The sequence below is a fragment of the Homo sapiens genome, chromosome 15, assembly GCF_000001405.40.
Source record: "Homo sapiens chromosome 15, GRCh38.p14 Primary Assembly".
Classification (NCBI taxonomy): domain Eukaryota; kingdom Metazoa; phylum Chordata; class Mammalia; order Primates; family Hominidae; genus Homo; species Homo sapiens.
In genome coordinates this window covers 88,387,053-88,408,303 of record NC_000015.10, presented here as the reverse complement: position 1 = coordinate 88,408,303, position 21,251 = coordinate 88,387,053, and the positions used below count along the sequence as shown (strand labels likewise).

General features: G+C 47.1%; 1 annotated feature.

Annotated features, from left to right (window-relative positions):
- Positions 5,044-8,132: an enhancer, noted in NCBI's record as "VISTA enhancer hs2510". NCBI's record gives its function as "enhancer in: eye[3/6]" and the evidence as "EXISTENCE:transgenic organism evidence [ECO:0001131][PMID:17130149]".

Genomic DNA, 21,251 nt, shown 5'->3' with positions numbered 1-21,251 from the left:
CACTATGCTAAAACATATACTTGGCCATAAAACTAATCTAGATTAATTTTAAGAGAATGAAATAATACAGAGTATGTTCTCTGAGCATGATGAAATTAAATTAGAAATAAATAATGGTAGGATATTTGGAAAATTCCCAAATATTTGGAAATTAAACAATATACTTCTAAGTAACCCATAGGTCATGAAAGAAATCATAAAGGAAATTAGAAAGTACTTTAAACTAAATGATATTGAAAACATAGCATATAAAATTTCTGGGATGAAGATAAAGCATCATCACTTGAAATGATCATACTAATAAAAAAAGATTTAAAATCAATGCTCTGGCTTCCACCTTAAGAAACTAGAAAAGGCATAAACTAGACCTAAACTTAGAAGTGAAAATGAAATAGAGCTAGGTGCGATGGCACATGCCTGTAATCCCAGCTACTCAGGAGGCTGAGGCTGGAGGAGCACTTGAGCCCAGGAAGTTGAGGCTGCAGTGAGCTGTGATCATGCATGCCACTGTACTCCAGCTCGAGTGACAGAGAGAGACCCTGTCTCAAAAAATATATGTATTAAATAAAAAAGAAAAGGAAATATTAAAGATAACAGCAGAAATCAATGAATTAGAAAATAGTCAAAGAAAATGCAGATGACAAAAGAAAGAGTTAGTGAACCTGAATACAAATGAATAGAAATTCTGTAATCTGAAGTAGAGATACAAAAATGATTGAATGAAAAGGAGAATAGAGATCAGGGACCTGTGGGACAACATCAAAAGGTCTAACATTGGTGGAATTGGCATCCCACAAGGAGAGAAAAGAGAGCAGAAAAAAAAAGTTTGAAAATATAATGGCAGAGGAGTAAATGCACAGATTCAAGATCAGTGAATCCCAAGGATAAATACAAAGAAATCACATTTAGGAAAATTACAGTCAAAATTCTAAAAACCAAAGATAAGGAGAAAATCTTGATAGCAGGCACAGAGAAATGATCCACTACATGCATAGTGACAATGATTCAGATTCCTACTGACTTCTCATCAGTAACCATAGAGGCCAGAAGATAGTGGGAAAACATCTGTAATAACCTGATTGAGAAAAAAGGTCAATTCAGAATTCTTTCTCCAGTGAAAACATTCTTCAAGAATGAAGGTGAAATAAAAACATTCTCAAATAAAAGAAAATGGAATTCACTGTCAGTAAACCTTGAAATGCTCAGGGCACCCTTTTAGGGTGAAGGGAATTGACATCAGATGGAAATTCAAATCTTTAGGAAGAAATGAAAAGCACTAGAAATGGTAACTGTCTGTGTAAATGTACAAACCTTCCCACAAAGAAAACTCCAGGTCCAGATGGCTTCACTGGTGAACTCTAACAGGTATTTAAGAAAGAAATATAGCAGTCTAACAAAAACACTTTCAGACAACAGAAGAGGAAGGAACACTTCCCAGCTTGTTTATATCAACATGAACAAAGACATTAAAAAGAAATAAATTACCAATATCTGTCATGAATATAGAATCAAATATTAAAAATATCAAATCCTGAGGAAAATATTAGCAAATTCAGCCCAGCAATATATACAAAGAATAATATATCAAGACCAAAAGAGGCTTATTTCGAGGAAGCAAGATTGTCTTGAAAGTCAGTCAATTAATTCATCACATGAACAGAAAAAAGGAGAAAAACCATAGGAACAACTCAATAGATGCAGAAAAAGTCAGAGCTGCCAACTTGGGCAGTTGATGTCATCCACAAGAGTGGAAAATCATGGCCCTTCACTTAATTTCCAGATTTATATCAGTTCATAGTTCCAGAGCTCACTGATTGAAGGGAATTGTGATTTTCAGGGAGCACAGTAAGGTTCCCAATTAGCTAGAAATTGCAGCTACCATTTGGCAATGTTGGGCTCTTAACGCCAGTGAAGCCAAGAGGAAAAGAAAGGAACTACTGGGTAGGGGATAACTGACTCATTACTATGAGAAACTTGGTTTGCTGGTACATAACGGGAACAGGAAAGTGTATGTTAGGAACTGAGAAGATTCACTGGGGGCACATTTTGCTGCTGCTTTACTGGTGGGCTGTTCTAACAATGATGATTCTACAAGGTCAAGGAAACCAAGGATTTAGACCCCTTGGGAATGAAAATCTAGGTCTTCCCACTAGAGAAGCAACACAGACCAGTCAAAATGGATGCCGGATGAGGGCATGGATGAATGGCAGCTAAAACAACCCCAGAACCAGTTGCAGTGGTACAGATGTAACAAGTTTGGCTTGCTAGCCCTCTGCTATGGTTTGAATATGTCTCCCAAATTTCATGTCAGAAACAATCTCCAAATTCATATGTTGATGGTATTTGGAGGTGGGACCTCTAGGAGGTAATTAGGATTAGATAAGGCCATAAGGGTGGGGCCCCCATGATAGGACTGGCAGCTTTATAAGAAGAGAAAGAGAGACCTGAGAAAGAGTGGACATGCTCTTGCCCTCTCACCATGTGATGTCCTCCACCATGTTATGACATACCTAGAAGGTCCTCACCAGATGCTGATGCCTTGATCTTGGACTTTCCAGCCTCCAGAACTGTGAGTTAAATAACTTCTTTTCTTTATAAATTATCTGGTCTATAGTGTCCTAACAACAGAAAATGAACAAAGCCACCTTCTTTAAGTCTTTTTAGGAGAATGCATATGACAACACCTTGAATACTTGGATTTGCATCTCCCCTCTTGGAGAGGAATGGAAGGTGTCTTTCTCTGATATGAGATCCATATATTACAGATGGCTATGGGTAGATGTGAAAGGCCCAAGGGGTGGACTGTACTGGATTCAATTTGTGTGCCACCCCAAGTCCATGTGGCCACATATTCTTCTATCTCAGTCTTGGTCACTTGCCTTGCTTTCCAGTTGAGCAGCCTTAGCAAGAGCTCACACTATTGTTCCCACAGCACTAAAGCCAGACTGTTGTCACTGCTGTTAGCACTGCTACAGATGGAGGATCCTAGCAGGTAGTATTGTATAACCAGGCCAGATTGGAAGCTATGCCAGAGCCCTGGACTCCCAGAAATTTGGGCTTCTCTTGAGGTTGCTTGAAGAGACCAAATGACATGTCATAGAAGAGCAGTGGAGTACATACTTTATAGAGTCGACTTTGATCAGTGGGAGCTGGGACCAGTAAAGAGGCAGCAAATAATAATTTTTCCATTTCTCTTCATGAATGAACTATTAAGAGAGGGAACAGATGAACTGTTGAGATCAGAAGATGATCTGAAGGACTGAACAATCAGTTGCACTTGCTCTGAAACAGCCCCTTTTTGTTAAACATCTCACTTTTATTTTCTCTTCCTCTTTCCCTGCCTCAGTCTCTTTTTCCCTTGATAAACGTTTTCCAATAAAGCGTTAGCCTGTGAGCCTCTCCCCTGGGCAGGCTCTCTCCTCCAGGAAACCCGGGTAAAGACAGGTGGTAAGGATGACATCGTGTCGTTGATGAGGATGCCGATGGAGTTGTGATGAGGTTGGTGAAAGTGGTGGTGGTGATGGAGAATGACGGTACTGAGGTGACAACGAGACGAAGGGTGTTGGTAATGACTTTATAAATGTTTTATAAGGACAGTGAAAGTCTGAGAAGTCCAGGATTATGGTCAATTATATTCACTCAAATTTGGTGTTTTTCTCTGTAGTTCTCTTTCCTAGGGGAGGATTATATGTCCCCATCCTTTTGAACTGAAGCATGACCATGTGACTTGCTTTAGCCAGTAAAGCTGTAAAAGCAGCGTGTGCTTTGGCCATATTCACTTTTCTTCTGCTGTGATGGCAGCCATCTCTTGTGGAGGCTGCTCCTTCAGCTCTGTTCTTGGGGCAGAACCATAATTGACCCATGACAGATATTCAGCTTGAGTGGGAATAATCCTTTTTCACTGAAAGTCCAAGAGATTTTGGGAAGTTTGTTACCACAGCATAATCTAGTGTATCCTGATTTAGATAAGGGAGAAGAAGTCTGTCTGGGAAATGTGCCTTTGGAATATTAGTGATAAATGAGAAAAATGACTGCCTCAGAAAGTTGTATTCTCCTTTGAAAAAAACCTCTGGATGGAAGTTTTGGGGAGAATCATAGTCCATTTTAATCTGGACCAAAGAGAAATGAGGAAAGCTACCTTCATGGGTGACAACAGCTATTCAATTATTCCACACTTGCACATCTATATTAGTGGGGCTCTTCACGGGCTTAGGAAGTTCTGCTGAGTTCTCAAGGAGTGGATTCATATACTTACCGGCTGCAGTGGAGCAGAGAGGGAGGAAGATGGGGTCATCAGGTAGGGGAGTGTGGCAGGGAGTCTTCCAATGTCCTTGAATCCTGCTTGACTAATGCAATCAGCTATGTGAGGCAGGAGCCGATTCTCCCCACCTTCCCCCACTAGCCCACAGGGGGTTCCTGCTAATGATTAGCTCAGGCTGATTCTCATTAATGCTCTTTATTTACAGGCAGATGAATCAATTATGGAAAATACGGTTTTCTCTTCTTAAGTCGGTTTTGTGCTTCATTTTCGATCTGCTGGTGTTCTGGGCAGAGTGCAGCGCCCCGACCTTCTCAGGGTGATGAGTCTGGTGAGAAAATGAAGAGGGTGTGTGTATTGGTGGTGGGTGTGAGGGACGGAGGGATACAAGATGGCTTCATTAGGAACAGTCAAGGGGTGGAGACTTGGAGAGGAAGGATCTAATTGAGTGTGCACCCTCCTTCATGTCCCCGCCTTGCCCAGAATATGCAAATCCTGATGAAAACCAGGAGCTGAGAGAGACCGTGTTGTCTCCAGAGGACTGCTGAGATCCTTTGCTAACAGGAATAAGCACAACTTACACTAGCTTGCAGAGTGGGGCTGCCTCCAAGCATGCACTTATGCTCCTCGACCTACATTTTCTTTGTCTTTGTAATGGAGATCGTGTGTGTGTGTTGGGGGCGGGGTGGGGGGGGTGAGTGCATGAAATCAGCAAGTATGTGAATAATCCTGCAGTCACATCTATGTACTGAGCACCTACTATGTTCTACTCTATTAGGGAAATGGCTGGAAAACAGGCAGTCATGACCCTATTTCCTCACAGTGTGGCGAGGAAGACAGAGTTGGAGCAATTAAAGATGCAATAGTCCATCTAAAAGAGCTTCAGTTGGGGACCTAACTTGGCCAGAATGATTAAGGATTAAAGAGTGCTTAAGATGAGACCTGAGAATGGGTAGCAATAATTAGTGGTAGTGAATGCATTTATACAAAATATATACTTGTGTGTACATGTGGGTGCACATGTACACACAGGTGCACGCGACAGATGTACACACGAAGTAAAATTCTAGGTAACTGAGTAAATAAATTAGTCCACAGAGAAAAAACTTCCATATTGCCAAGTTTATCATCCATTAAACACCCAGAAGATTTTATTGCCAACAAATTAGATGTTGATTTTTAGAAAATTAATTATATATTTCCCTGCCCTCCTAAGCAGCGTAAGTATCGCTTTCGTCATATTTCAGGGTCTTTCGCTATGACTGACATGCCAGTAGGATGCTTAGAGAGAGGGCTTCCTCAGGATTTATTTGGGGGTATGTAATAATTTTATTGCACTGAGATGGCTTCAGACTGCTTTGCTTTTTGAGTTCTTATGTCTGCTTTTTATAGTTTGCTGTCTCTTTCTGTGCTCTCGGGCTGTCAACTGTCACTTCCTGCAGCTGTCAGTAAGCCTGGCATTGGCAGGCCTCACCACTATCAGCATCTGCCCCGCCCCCAACACTCACAGGCTCAGCGATTCCATTCTAATCAGGTACTGACTCAGTTGGCTTGGCTTATCCAAGCTGTAAAGCAGCGCTCTGTAAAGTGCAGCCCCTACCCCAGCAGCAGCAGCTCCACCTGGGAACTTGTCAGAAATGCCAGTTCTTGGGCCCCGTCCCGGACCTGCTGAATCAGAAACTCTGGGGGTGGGACCATGTATTTAACAAGCTGTCCTGGTGATTCAGATGTCCCTAAAGTTTGAGAACCAGTGCTGTAAGGAAGGATAAATAGGGTCCAAGCGAGGGCTGTGTTGCTCTCCTTTGTGCAAGCTGCGTGAGCTTTAGAGCATCAGCCCTGCCTATGTTCTGTCCAGTCAAGGAGCCTGTGTTCCTTCCTGGTTCTGGGCTGTGTTCAGTGTGATTGGATTGTTTCAGGATATCTGAGTTGTAGGAAGATGAGAGGCCGGCTGTGTGAGTCTGAGTGCACACAGAACAAGAGTGAAGGACAGAAAGATAAAGACGGGGCCAGAGCTATGGCTTATGCTCAGCTCCCCAGCTCTTAGCTGCTGGAGTTTCTTACATCTTGGTTCCAGAGCCCTGGCCTGAACTCTCCAGCCAGGAGCCCTGGCGGTCTTCAGGTGGCAGAAGGGTCTTCTGATTCCGTCTTGCTCTCCCACACATGAGTAGCTGCCGGGGGCCCAGGCTGAGTGGCAGGAACACCCAGAGAGGCAGCAGCTGCCGGTGATGCTGCCAGAGACTGTCCAAACGGAGTTCTGAGGAGGGACAGCTAGGATATGTGTGGGAGCCTCTGAGATGCATGGATTTGGGTTTGTAAACATGGGCCTGTTACATTTAGGGTGGGCCACGGGCTTAGGGAGAGCTCCGTAGCATCTTTTGGCAACAGTTGAACATTTTGAGTGGTTTTAAAACATTGCTTATTCCTTATATAGTAGGAGGCCTGTTTTAGCACAGCTTGTCGTCAAAGGGGAGGAGAGAGGAGGGCGTTGGCACTGGGTGAACACCCATTGTGTGCCAGGTACTTTGCATAAATCTTGTTTTGTCGTTACACCCTTCTCCAGGGGCTGGGGCTTATTAGCTCTGCTTTACAGACTAGGACAGCGGCCAAGAGCAGAGGTCTGGGCACAAGAGGTGTCAACCATAGTGAGTCCTGCATGACCCCAGCACTGATACGAGGAGTGTGTTTTGTGAGTATCCAAGACTGTGTAACTGTCAGACAACACGGTAGTACTGAGGGCCCTCTGCCCACAGTGGGAGCACATGGTTGCACTCCTGACATGAGGCTCCAAAGCTGGGCTAAAGTTCCTTTACGATTGACTTGCTCAGTCTGCCTACATCGGTATTTGCTGGAGAGAGAGAGAAAGCAAGCATCTGCTGAACGTGAATCCTGTGAGATGCTCCTCAAATTCAAAGTCCCACTGGCCAAATCAGTTCGGGAATTGTCATAAACTTATCTATACTCCACTCTTGGAGGTCACGATTCAGACTGTATCAGGCAGAGATCAGCTAGAGCCACAGAAACAGTAGGAAATACATATTAAGAGATTTATTGCAAGGAATTGGTTTATGTAATTGTGGGGGCTGGCCAGGCAAGTCTGAAGTCCCAAGGTCAGGCTGGAATTCTAGACCATGGGGTGAAGCTGCTGTCTGAAGGCAGAATTTCTTCTTCAGGGAAACCTCAGCTCTGCTCCTAAGGCCTTCAGACTGATTAAATCAAACCAACCCAGATGATCCAGGATAATCTCGCTTATGTAAAGTCACCCTTCCCAGGGGACTGGGGCTTATTAGCTGTGTCTAATAAGATAAGGCTTCTTAGTCCCTCTGGGGGACAGATTATCTAGGATAATCTCCCTTATGTAAAGTCAACTGATTATGAATTTTAATCACATGTACAAAATACCTTCATGACAACACCTAGATTTGTGTTTATAGTTGACATCTAGCTGGGTGAGGTGGTCACAGCTGTAATCTGAGCACTTTGGGAGGCAGAGGCAGGAGGATTGCTTGAGGCCAGGAGTTTGAGGCCTCCAGTCTGGGTGACAGGGCGAGACCCTGTCTCTAAAATAAACAAACAAACAAATAAAGTTGACATCTAGAACTGACTGTCACACAAATAAACACACTGAGAAGTCCTCCACTAAAGACATCTTGGTTTCGCAGAATCTGTTGTTTCCCAAAGTTGTTTGAACAAGTCCCCACCCCCATTCCCTATCCCCCACAACAGCTGTTTCCACCCAGTATTCTACAGGGTACCTTGGAGATTGCTGCCCCAGCTGTCTGGCCCTTCCTGAGAGGTGCTGCGCAGCAGGAAGCCCAGGGCCGAGTCTGCTCGGTCTACAGGGGCTCTAGGGCAGGGTTTGTCCACTTTGGCCCTATCGACATTTTGGGTCAATTAATTCTTTGTGGTGGGGCTGTCCTGTGCACTGTAGGATGCTTACCAGCATTCCTGGCCCCTATGCACTAGATGCCAGTAGCATCTCTTCCTCCCGAGCTGGGACAACGTAAAATGTCAAATGTCACCTGGGGGACAACATTGCTCCTGTTGAGAACTATGAGTGTAGAAGAAGTTAGGAGACAACAAAGGGCTTTACTGGCCCGGCAGCCTGAGTTTGAATCATACCTCTGTGTTACTTTTGTTTACTTCCATCCTGCCACGTTCCAAAAGGATGTGAGCCGTTAAGTCTGTTATTTAATAGCTCCACGGGGAAGTTAATTCTACTTTTGTGAACCTCAGTTTTCACCTCTGCAAAATGGGAGTCATGACAAGACTTATCTTGCTGGTTATTGAGGGATTCACTGAGGTGGAGTGTGTAGGGTACCTGAATCACAGTGGTTATTCCATATATGTTTGTTCCTTAGCCTTCCAAAAGAGAAACTGAGTCTCACAATTAGGATTTCATGGGCATCCTAAAATAGTGGAGTTGCAAGGATCTTGGCTGTCACCTGGTCCATTTTCTAGATGAAAAGACCAGCCTGGCACCTGCCAGAGGTTCCAGAGCTCCAGGCAGGGATATTTCTCAACCCCGAGCTGTGAAACTTCCCAGGTGTAAAATACCTGGGGGCCCTGGATAAGAATAGCCCAGGTGTCCTCCACAGTTCCTGCTGCTGCTGAGTCTGGAGAGAAGCACTTAGGTGTGGACAGGCTCTAAGGACCCTCGGAGGGTTCAACACTGTCCTGGGGCTCCTCTCTAGGCCTCCTCTGCAGGCTGCTCAGGTCCTCCCCTTCCCGCAGGCTGTGATGCAGAGGCTTGAGCACCACGCTGCAGAGATTTATGAATGGCGCACCCTTGAACATAAGGTTGGGCCTTGCCAGAAGGTTTATTAATGGGCTTTCATCTAGCACTTTAGGTCTGCGAGCTCGATCTGTTCCCCTGGTCCGTGGCCGGATGTGGGGAGGTACACCACATCAGCAAAATTTTCCTCTTGGCTTGGTGGCTGGGACTTGGCAGAGTGGGGTGATGTAGATGCTATCCTTCTAAGCTCCACTGGGATTAGAACCCATAGGCCTCCTTTCTCCTCTCTTGGCTATCTCTGAGCCTACTGGGCTGTCTTCCTTGGAGGGGAGCATCTAGTTTGTTGTCATCTCCTGCAGTCAGAATGGTGACCACCGTCTCAGGCCATGGTGGGATGCTGAGAATACTGGTCTTGGGTCAGAAGCTATGGACTATGGGCATTGCTGCCTACCAACTGGATGACCCGAGAGAGCCACTGTGCCTCTCAGGACCTCAGTTTCTTCACCTGTAAAATGGGATAATAATAGAACCCTAATAGGATGGTTGTGAGTATTCACTGAGACTTACTCAGAGAGGCTTAGTAGGGGCTTCCTCTGTCCTTTCTCCCTGGCCCAGCACCTGGCCTTGCACTGGATTAGGCCCCCCTCATTGTATGGAGGGCATGAATTGCCATGGGGGCAGAGCCCTCAAGGGTGGAAGCTGGGCCACACAGTCACCCCAGAGGGTGCAACTTCAGAGGGCTCCTGCTTTATCCTTCTGAAGGACATCACCTCCCCAGCTAGGGGGAGCTTAAGGAGGGATCTCCTTACCTGTCCCTTCACACCTTGGATGCATTCAGATGTACCCGAAGCTGGGAGAGGGGCTGAGGAAGGACAGGTTCTTAGCATTGCGTCTCTTGGCATTTCTAGGCTGTTAATCACTTATCAGTAAAGATGTGAATCCAGAGCTTCCTCTTCCTAAACAATGGTCTAAAGTGGCTGCCACAGCATCTCCTGAGTGGCTTGTAAAAATACTGATTGTGGGGGCCTACCCCAGACCCATGGGAGCAGAACTGTCAGGGGAAAGGCCCAGAAATTGGCTTATAAAAAGATCCCTAGCTGCTTCTGATGCACAGACAGGCCTGGGAAAGGCTGTCTGGGCATCTGCCTACCCACACCTATTCTGTGTGGACCCCACAGGGTTAAAAAGCCTGTTTGGCTGTCAATCTTGTTAGTTCTGTGGGGAAGCAGGGCCTGCTCCCTTTGAAGGATGAAGGCCAAGTCCTGAGGGACAAAGCGCACCTTCCTCCACAATGACACAGGGCCTGGGAGGTCTTCTTGCTCCACTTTTGGCAATCTTGCCAGGATAGCAGGAGGCCATGCGTCAGAGCTCTGGGTATCCATTTCCTGCACTTTTTATTTAGATGGGAAGGTTGGTCTAGAATGGCTCTGAAGTCCCCTCCAGCTCTAACATACTGTGCTTTCAGGAAAGGAGCTCCAGAAACTGGAGGAGCAGCCTCTTCTCTCTGCCCTGGGGGTGGCCGAGCTCTTGGTGGTGGAGATTTGCCAATCCTAGAGGGCACGGTAGAGCTGCAGAGTGGTCGTCCCTGTGGCCACATGCAGCCCTAAAGTTCCAGGATGTGCCTGGTGGGCTTGAGCCAAGATGTGAGCTCAGCTACCTCCTTGCCAAATTCCCTATTCCTCACCATACATTGCCCTGCCTACCCCCGAAAACCGTGGTGAGCTGCTGAGCAGTTTTGAGCCTAAGTAAGGTATACCAGGCCATAAGTGAGGTAGACGTGTCAAGAACCCCTTTTCTACCCCATGCATTGCAGACTGCACCTGCTTCTCCTGTGCCATTTCTTCTCTTTTCTTATTTATTTATTTATTTATTTATTGAGACGGAGTCTTGCTCATGTCGCCCAGGCTGGAGTGTAGTGGTGCAATCTTGGCTCACTGCAACCTCCGCCTCCTGGGTTCAAGGAATTCTCCTGCCTCAGCCTCCCGAGCAGCTGGGATTACAGGCACCCACCACCACCATGCTGGCTAATTTTTGTACTTTTAGTAGAGACGGGGTTTCGCCATGTTGGCCAGGCTGGTCTCCAACTTTTGACCTCAGGTGATCCGCCCGCCTCGGCCTCCCAAAGTGCTGGGATTACAGGCGTGAGCCACCAAGCCCAGCCGCCATTTCTTCATTCAGCAAACATTAGTTAAGCACCCACTCTGGAGACATAAAAGTCACAGTCTATGAGCCTCAAGAAGCTACAGGCTGGAGGGGAAGAAGACAGACACAGGAGTCAAGAGCAGCTTTGCAATATCACAGGCTATCTAATGAACAAATACGCGCCTGGGGCTCCAGGTACCTTTCTGGAGATGCAGCTGGGGACTGAGGCAGGACCAATTCCAGGCTCCTCTGCCAAGGAGATGAACTTAACTTTGAGGTCTGTGCCTCCCCACCCCACACCCAGCTGTTCCTGGTCCTTTGAAGACCTCCAATTGGCCACTTCCAGGTTCCAACTTTAGAGGTATAGAATCCTGGATACTTTATCGTGGGAGGATAGAGCTGTCCTCCTGGGCTGCCCCTCCTCTCAGGCCCCTAGTGAGCAGCTGCTGCATTAGCTGGAAACTCCTCTGCCCTGATGAAGATGAGCAACCGCACCTCCTCCCTCCTTAACCTAACACAATCCCAGCCTTTGAGGGGCCCCTTGGGGGAATGAACACAAAGGAGCCTGGCAGTTTAAAAGCACTGTAATTGCACTGCTGGTTTCTAGCACCACTCTGGGCTTCCCAAGTTAAAGAAAGTTTACAAGGCCCCGGAAATAGCTCAGGTGCCAGCAGGCTCTGTAGAAGCAGGCTAGGGCAGCAGAGGGAGGAGGAGGAGCAGGAAAAGGAAGGGGAGAAGGAGGAGGGAGAGGAGGAACAGCTAACATGGGCTGGCCACAGGGCTAGGCAGCAAAAGGGGGAACAAATTAGACATATTCCTGCCCTTGGGTGCCTTATACCTCTGTAGGGGAATTAAGTGAAGATTACAAATGCCTACAAATCAGAACAGTAGGAGGCAAGGCAGGGAGGAGGGCTTAGAGAGATGTGAGAGGCTTTGGAAAGTATGTGGGGAAGTAGATAGACTTCAGGGGCAGATGGACTCTGAACCCCAGCATTCCTACCAGTGGGTGTGATATTCTGAGGCAAGTCACAGAAGCTCTCTGAAACTTAAATTTTCTACATTAGAAAATGGAGATAATCCTACCGATATGGGAGGAAGGCAGGGAAGTGCTGGGAGGAGAAGGGTGTGGTCCCTGGCTAGGGCTCCACTCCCGGGCCAGGGCCTACGGACCTAGGTGAGGACAGGCATTTCTGCTTTCGTGGTCAAATGTTGCATTTTCCAAGAACACCCTGGCCTGCCACACCCCCATCCTGTGCCTATAAAAACCCTGAGACCCTAGTGGGCAGAGGCACAACTGGCTGGACATCAAGAGGAACACTCCGGAGGAAAAGCACACCCACAGGCACTGGCAGATGTAGGTAGGCCATCGACTGGTGGAACAACGCGGAGTTTGGCTGGGGCGGTCATAAAAGAGTCCGGCTGCTGTGCAGCCTGACTCAAGGGGAAAACCACCTTCCCACTCCATCCCCCTTCTAACTCCCTATCTGTCTGCTGAGAGCTACTTCCATTCAATAAAACCTTGCACTCATTCTCCAAGCCCATGTGTGATCTGATTTTTCCGTTACACTAAGGCAAGAACCTGGGATACAGAAAGCCCTCTGTCCTTGCAATAAGGCAGAGGATCTAATTGAGCTGATTAACACGAGCTGCCTGCGGATGGCTAAACTGAAAGAGCACACTGTAACACATGCCCACTGCGGCCTCAGGACCTTTAAATATTCACCCCTAGATGCTGCTATGGGGTCAAAGCCCACGCTCCCCACAACCAGCCCGGTTGCCTGCTCCCCCTGGAGATATGAGCAGTGGGGCACTGAAGTGAGCCAAACCCTGATGGCATGCCCTGTGAGGGGGATAAGGAAACTTTTCCCGTTTCACAACTGACCTAATAAAGCTCAAGTGGTGACTAAATCAGGAAACAGAAGTACAAGATCCTGTGTGGAGTAGGAATTTAACAACAGCAGCCATTGCTGTTGTTATTTAGAGCAGGGGTTGGCAAAATATGACCCTTGGGCCAAATCTGTTCCACCGCTTGTTTTTGTACAGCCTGTGAGCTAAAAATGATTGCTGCATTTTAAAATGTTTTAGAAAGAAACAAAAGAAGAATACTATTTCATGACACATGAGCATTGTATGAAATTCAAATTTCCATGTCCATAAATAAAAGTTTTATTGGAACACACCATGCTCATTTGTTTACATGTGGTCTATGGCTTATTTTGTTCCACAACTGCAGAGTTGAGAAGTTAGTTGTGACAGAGACCATATGGCCCAGAAGGCCTAAATTATGTACTGTGTGGACCTTTACAGAAAAAGTTTGCCAAGCTTGGTTTAGAGGCAGAAAGGAGAGATTGAACTGGGCATTGAGTACAATTTGCCTTGAGTCTGGCCTTGGGTGCTGGGTAGGATTACCATGAGTCACCTCAGAGGGAGAGGCTGGGACTAGTGTAGGTCTTTGGTGTGTAGGATGGAGTGGAGAGAGATTACTGAAGGCAAAGTGAGCCCCAGAAGCAAAGAACTTAAGGGAAAGAATGGCTTCCATTGTGAAGAAATCTCTTTCTCTAGCAGAATCAGGACAGGTGGGATGCTGGACTCTCTACAGGACTCCCCCCAAAATAAGGGTTGTATGTTTTGGGGGTGGAAGCTTCCTGGGTTTGGGTCCCTGAGCTAGTTTCCTGGGAAGCACGACAATATCCTCTTTTCAAGACCCAAATAGTAGATAGAAATAGGGCCAAAGAAACATGACAGGAAAACAGGCATGAGTCTGTCTGGATTAGGTCCCCAGAAGTGGCAGCAGGCTGTCTGCTATGCAGCAACCTCCCATTTTCTCCTGCTAAACAGTGACAGCTGCTGATTCAGCCCTTCTCTACTAACCTCAAGGCTCTGGGTTTACTCATGGACCTGACTCTGCAGAGGACACCCTAATTCCAAACTCGAGGGGAATAAGCAGCCTGCTGTGAAGTCCCCCAACATCCCTCCTCCCCTCCTCAGCCTTTCTTCATTTCCCAGGGTTTCCTCTCGCTGCCTGCAAGGAAGAAGTGTCTCTTTCTCTGCTCAGTCCAAACTTGCCACCGTGCTTTGATCTCATCCCTTCTTGGCTCCTCCAGGCTCTTGCTCTGTTGGTTATACATCTTTCTTGTGTTCTCAGTCTTGTGTCCACTGGCACTTTTCCCTGCCTCCTCTTGTTGGGAAGGTGACTAATATTTAATGAGCTCCTATTATGTACCAGCAGTCTGCTAGGTGATTGTATATGCTGTTTCATTTGATTCTGACAAGAGCCTTGAGGTAGTGTATTAGTCAGGAGTTTCAGTTGCCACTGAAAGAAACCCGACTCAAACTAGCGTAAACTAAAGAGGAAGTTTATTGGCTCAGTCATTCAAGGATGAACATCAGACATGGCTAGATCCAGGTCCTTAAAGAATGTCCTGAGGAATTTCTCTGTTTCTCACTTCTGTCTTCTTTTGTATTGGCTTCATTCTCAGATGGGCATAACTCATGTGGGGACAAAGGTGGCCATCAGCAGCTCTAGACTAATATTCTGCCTTTGTAGAAATTCCCAAGCTAACAGAGGTTTAGCAAAAATCCAGAGCTGACTCTCATTGGCTTGGCCTGGGTCAAATGACCTTTCCTGAACCAAATACTGTGGCCAGAAGGTTGTAGTACTGTCACTGGCCAATCCAGGGCTAGCTGCCCACTTTTGGCAATGAGGGCATCAGCCCTAGAAAATCACATGGACTGGGTGGGAGAATGACATGGGCTCCTCAAAGGAAAATCATGGTGTTGACACCAGATGATGGCAGCATCGTTGCTGGGTAGGCAAGAATGACAGCTGTCTATTAGAGATAGATCTTACCATCCTCATATTACAGATAAAGAAGTTGAACCTAGAAGAGGTTTGGTGCATACCAGGTTCCATAGATAACACTCAGTAGAGATGCAATTTCTACCCAAGTTGGGCTCATTGTATTTTTTTTTATTTGTTTTAGACAGTCTTGTTCTGTTGCCCAGGCTGGAGTGCAATGGCCCAATCTTGGTTCACTGCAACCTCTGCCTCCTGGGTTCACATGATTCTCCTGCCACAGCTCCCGAGTAGCTGGGATTACAGGAACCCGCCACCACGCCCAGCTATTTTTTGTATTTTTAGTAGAGACGGGGTTTCGCTATGTTGGCCAGGCTGGTCTCAAACTCCTGGCCTCAAGTAATCTGCCTACCTCAGCCTTCCAAAATGCTGAGATTACAGGCATGAGCCATGTTAGGCTCATTTTGTATTCTATTTGGTTTCCAGGCTTGCCAAGGCACTGCAGCAAGCTTCAACTTGGTCAGTGGATAGAAGGGGACAGAAAAGGGAATGGCAAGAAAGAAAGTAGTTTTCAGAAAGAGCCAATGAGAGAAAAGCCAATGAGTGAGTGAACCTCAAATGGTCCCCAGTGGCTGAGCAGAGGTGCTGGGAATCAAAGAATCTCCAAGGTAGACATCTACACTGCAGAGACCTGGCCTCTCTGTCTGCTCCAAGGGACACTTACTGTTATCCTGTCCAAGGCTTATTCCAATCAATCTTCATGTCTGGCAAAGGCATTGTAGCACACCTGAGACAATGGGGTTCTGAGGTCAGTGCTGTGAACACACACAAGCCCTGGTGCTTCCCAGAATGACTTCAGAAAGCAGAGGAGTCCTGTGACCCCAGGGATGAACCCCCATATTGGGATGAGCTGGCCAAAAGCCACCTGACCAGATATTTCAGTTCTGTATCCACCTGCAACCTTGCAAAGGAGAGGGACCCTCTGAACAAGACCACGAGGATTAGGAGAATTTGCCTGCAGGAAGCAGTTTTCTGCTGGTCTAGAAGATACTGGGGTGGAACTGTTTTCTGGAAAATTTGGGAATAGCTCTGTCAGTATACTCATACGGTGGGAGGGAACACACACACACACACACACACACACACACACACACACATTTTTGAGCATTTTATCTGAGGTCTCCAGACCATAATATGGAGAAATAAATGCCCTGGAAAAGGCTTAGTAGGGGGTGCTGGTGTTAGAGAGTCATGGCAGACACAGGGCACCAGGAGGGGCAGCTGAGGAGGGATAAGAATGTAGACCCAAAAAGGAAAGATTTGAGACCACCTCATGGTTCTGCTACTGATCCTCCTGAGAGGCAGAGATGGGGACTGAACTCAGCATCAGACCCTAAAGAGGAAGTGGCAGGTTGACTTTGAGGACACTGCAGAAATGTTGTGTAAGAGCTCTGCTTTCCTCCCACACCCCAGCCCCACCCAGCTCTTCTGTGCTTCCAACCTGAGCTCCTGGAGGCTGAGGAGAAATGAGTTGAACATTCCTAAGTACAGAATGTCTTAGACTTAGAACCTGTGGGGACTGGCCAAGCACAGTGGCTCATGCCTGTAATCCCAGCACTTTGGAGAATGAGGTGGGCAGATCACGAGGGCAGGAGTTCGAGACCATCCTGGCCAACATGGTGAATCCCCGTCTCTAATAAAAATACAAAAAATAGCTGGGTATGATGGCATGCGCCTGTAGTCCCAGCTACTCAGGAAGCTGAGGCAGGAGAATTGCTTGAACCCGGAAGGCGGAGGTTGCAGTGAGCCTAGATCGTGACACTGCACTCCAGCCTGGGCAACAAAGCAAGACTGGGTCTCAACAACAACAACAAAAAGACCCGTGGGGACCTGAAAAGCCAACTTGTCCTATCCTAGTGAAAAAGTACCCTTGATAGTGCTTCATCCTTAGAAAAACTCCTCCTTCTATCACACCCAAATTTGCCTCCCAGTAACTCCTAAAGTAAAGAATGGTCCCAGTTCTGGCCAGTTGGCATCATGTTGGACCAGTTCATGCCCCTTTCTCAGGGTTGATCCAGGAAGTGTCAGTGACGCCATGTGGTCCAAACGGCAATACTCTCCATGTGCGTGTGCATGGGCTCTGCACGTGTCGGGGTGGTGACGTGTATTGTTGTGCATTCAGGCAACCCAACTGGTGAGTAAATGAGCGGCTATATTTATCTCCGCCTCCCGGGCCCAGGAGCTCCCGCGCTGTGACAGCAAAGGGAAAAACAAGCACACGGGGAGATGCCTCACATTATTGTGACAAGTAATTAGGGGATGTGAGATGTTCAGAAGTTATTTTATTAGACCAATGCTGCTTATAAACCCCACGCAACAAACATTCCTGGGGAGTTGCCTCTGGTCCTGGGATTCTGCTACTGAAATAATTTCAGCTCCTCAGAGCCCAGGGGCAATCCTGGTGCCTCTGCGTGGCAGGCTGTTTGGGAAGGATGAGAGGGTAGTGTTAAGTTTGCAGGGAACGATCTGGGTTTGAATCTCTAACTGCATGACCTTAGGCAAGTCAACTTACTCTGTTAGGCTGTAGTTTCTATTTCTGGAGGGGGAATGATGCTTCAGGAAGTGTCTCCAGCAGGCCCTACCAATAGGGCTGCAGGGACAAAGAGAAGTGGGTGTTACCAGATCCCAGGCGCTGGGGCTTGCCTGTGGGAGCTGGGACCATTGGGAGCAGAATATTGAATGTCTACTACTGCTAGGAGCTGGAATAGGCCCAAAGATCAGTGTTGAACAAGTCTTCCCCTTGAGTTGTTCATCATCCACAGAAAAGACAGATCCTGGTACAAGAGCATTTGAAATAAAAATTGTAGCATCCTAGAGCCAAGATCAGCAAGCTTTTCTTTTATGTCAAGGACCAGAGAGTAAATGTTTTAAACTTTGTGGGTCATGCAGTCTCTGTTGCAACTATTCAACTCTGTAGTAGTGCAAAAGCAGCTGTGGACAATGCCTAAGGGATTATGCATGGCTGTATTCTGATGAAACTATTTATGGACACTAAAACGTGAATTTCACATAATCTTCACATGACATGGCATATTATTATTTTGATTCTTTTCAAATACCTGAAAATGTCAAAACCATTCTTGACTCACGGTCTGTAGAAAAACAGATGGTGGGTTGGATTTGGCCTGTGGGCCATAGATTGCAGGCCCCTGGCATAGAGAAAAACCAATGGCATCTACTAGGGGTGCCAGGGAAGGCTTTGCTGAGGAGGTGGCATGGATCTGGGTCTCGAGTATTCAAGGGTTTCACTTGGAGCCAGTGCTGGTGAAAGGAGGGATGTGTCTTCTAGGCAGATAGAATTGCAGTTGCTTGGGCATGGAGGCATAAGCAGGGTATCTGGGGGATGGTGGGGAGTTTGGAGTGATTGGATTATAGGTGCAAAGTGGGAAGGTGTTTGGGCTGGAGAGCAGGTTAGGGTGGGAATGAGAAGCCTTTATAAGCCATGAGATGGAGTTGAGCACATTCTGGGGGCTGGAATGGCAGTTTCTTGACTTTTCAGGAGGCTTCACCTGGTCATGGCAAAGAGGACCAGGGAGAGGTTGTCCCCACAGATTGAAAGGATGACATGTGAGAGCCTGATGCAGGCAGTGCAGTGGGGACAGGAGACAGAAGATACAGGCAGCAGAGAGGAGGAGAGGCCATCTCTAAGGCCACAGATTCCCAATGGAGTGCTGTTTATGGACTAGGCACCCCATTATGTGCTCTCTCTGTGATGACCAATGGGTATCTAATGATGCATCTGAATGAGGGGAGAGGGCCCACTGTGTTCCAGGCACTGGGCTAGGAGTGTGAAAGTTGATGACACAAACTGGGTCATTCTTGCCATACTCTACTAAATCAGAGTCAGGAGCCAGGGGAAAAAAGTACTCGGGGCACGGAACACCGGCTCCAAGAATTAAATTTTCCACAATTGCCACTGCTGAAATGGCCTGCTGAGACCCCAAGGCCAGTTTTACCTAGTAACTGCTGAAACAACCTGCCGTGACTCTAAGACTGGTTTTACTTACCACAATCACCCACCAATCAGAGCTTGCCAGCTCCCAAAAGGCTTCTCTAGAGCCAATGAGCTTTCTTTCAAAACAATGCATAACATTTCTCTTTCTAATAAAACTCTCAACCTTCTCTTTGTTCTCTGGACATACTGGAGACCACCCGGTCTGTGTGTAAGCCCTAAATTGCAATTCTTGCTTCCCAAAACAAAACATTTATACTTTAGAGATTTGTCTCTAGACTTTATTTGACTTCAATGGGAATACATTTAGATACGTTATCTCATTTAATCCCACCACTATCCTACAAAGGGAGTTTATGATTCTCAGTTTACAGATGAGAAAGCCAAGGCCCAGAAAGATTGAGCAATTTGCCCAGGCTGCACCGTTAGTAAGTGACAAAGAGGAGCTCTGATCTTGGGTTAATTATTCTCAACTCTAATCTCTTTCAACCTGATGCCCTGCTGGGGGTAGTTTTTCAGTGTGTGTGGGGGGCCCTAAGCCAGAAAGGACATTCTTGTGGCCACCTGGAGGCTGCAGAGGACGGCACAGCAAGCCATGGGAGGTGGAGGGAAAGGGGTGGGAATTGGATTTGACTCCAGAGCAAGGAATCAAGGGTGTGGCTCAGAGACTCTAGCAAACAATGTCACCGCCTTTTGTGTGGTCTTTCTTTCTGAAACCCCTGCCTAGTTGGGAAGTTGCAGCAGGGCCTTGGGAGTGATTCCAGTCACCCTGCATACAGAGCTGTCCTCCCACAAAAGGAACCTCCTTGACCCCTGCCAAGGCACCTTCCCAAAACCATTAATTCGATTCCATCCCTCTACTGCTTAAAAGTGCCCAACTTTTTGTGAGTCAACAGAGTCTCCAGATCACAACCACAACCTGGGTCCCAGCAGGCAGGGCGGGCCCAGCCACCCTGGCTTCCAGTCTTCTTTCTCAAGTTTACTTCATATCATCCTCAAAACTCTTTTGCTGCCCTAGCCCTCAGTGAGGTACAGTTGCTGAGAAGCCCCCCACCATCCACCCTTTCTATAACCCCGGGGAGGTGCAGTCTTCAAGGTGCCGTTGGGCCCTGCCCCCTCCAGTCTTCCTTGGCTGTCCTGTCCCCTCCCCTACCATCCTGTGATAGTGTGAAGTCCACAGTACCCTCTGGAGCTTAGTGCTGAGGGCTGGTTCTAGGTAAATGGGGAAAGTCAGGGCTTCAAAGGGAAGCCAAGGGCATTGAGTCCTAAAGCAAAAGACTGCTGGATGGAGGAAAGGACACAGAGGAGCCAGAGATAAGGGGAGCCATTTATTAACATAAGACTCTGAGGGGCTGGGGTGAGTGTGTGGAGGGAATGTCCGCAGGACTGGCAAGGGTCCTAGGGGGCCCCTGGTCATCCTGGCTCCCCTGGGGGCTGTCATGGCTCTGCTGTGAAAACGCCTGTTATGGGATGTGCTGAGGGCCATAGTTAGAGGGTGGGACCAGAAGGGCTTTGTATCTCAGGGAGGGGGCCTGTGGGGAATAAAGCTAATCTGATAAACGGTAAGATGCCTTGATTTCCATGTTACTTCACTGACCTCAGGAAGCTCTATAACCTGGAAGGGTGGCTTCATCTCCTAACACTTGTCATGGTCATCACAAGGCTTGACTTTGAATAGCTACTGGACACTGTACTTTCATGGGCATTGTATCACCCAGTCTTCCTAACAGCCCTGTGTGGTGGGTGTCACCATCCCCATTTTACAGATAAGGATGCTGAGGCTTAAGATTAAACATGACTTGCTAGGCTCCTCCTAATGATCACCACCCTGACCTTCAAAGTTACCAGGGAAGCCCTCTTTTGAGTTCTCTGTCCTAGCAGGAAGGCATTGTGTTTGCTAAGCATTCACCAGGAGCGTAAAATTTGTATTTGTTTTTTACGAAGTTTCTCATGGAGCTAGTAAGTGACAATCCTGGGATTCAGACTCTAGTTCTGTGCTCCTTCTAATAACATCTTGGCCAGGCTTGGTGGCTCCTGACTGTAATCCCAGCTACTCGGAGGCTGAGGTGGGAAGATCACTTGAGCCCAGGAGTTTGAGACCAGCCTGGGCAATATAGCAAGACCTTGTCTCTAAAATATATATAAAGAACACCTTGTATTGTTACTTAACTGCAGGTGTCTGTGCACCTGTGGTCTTAGTGAAATCATACACTCCTTGAGGGTAGAGACTCTGTTTCCTGCTCTGTGTAAGACCCCCTTCATGCCAGGGACTGGTACATAGTAAGTGCTCAGTCAACATATGTCTGATTAT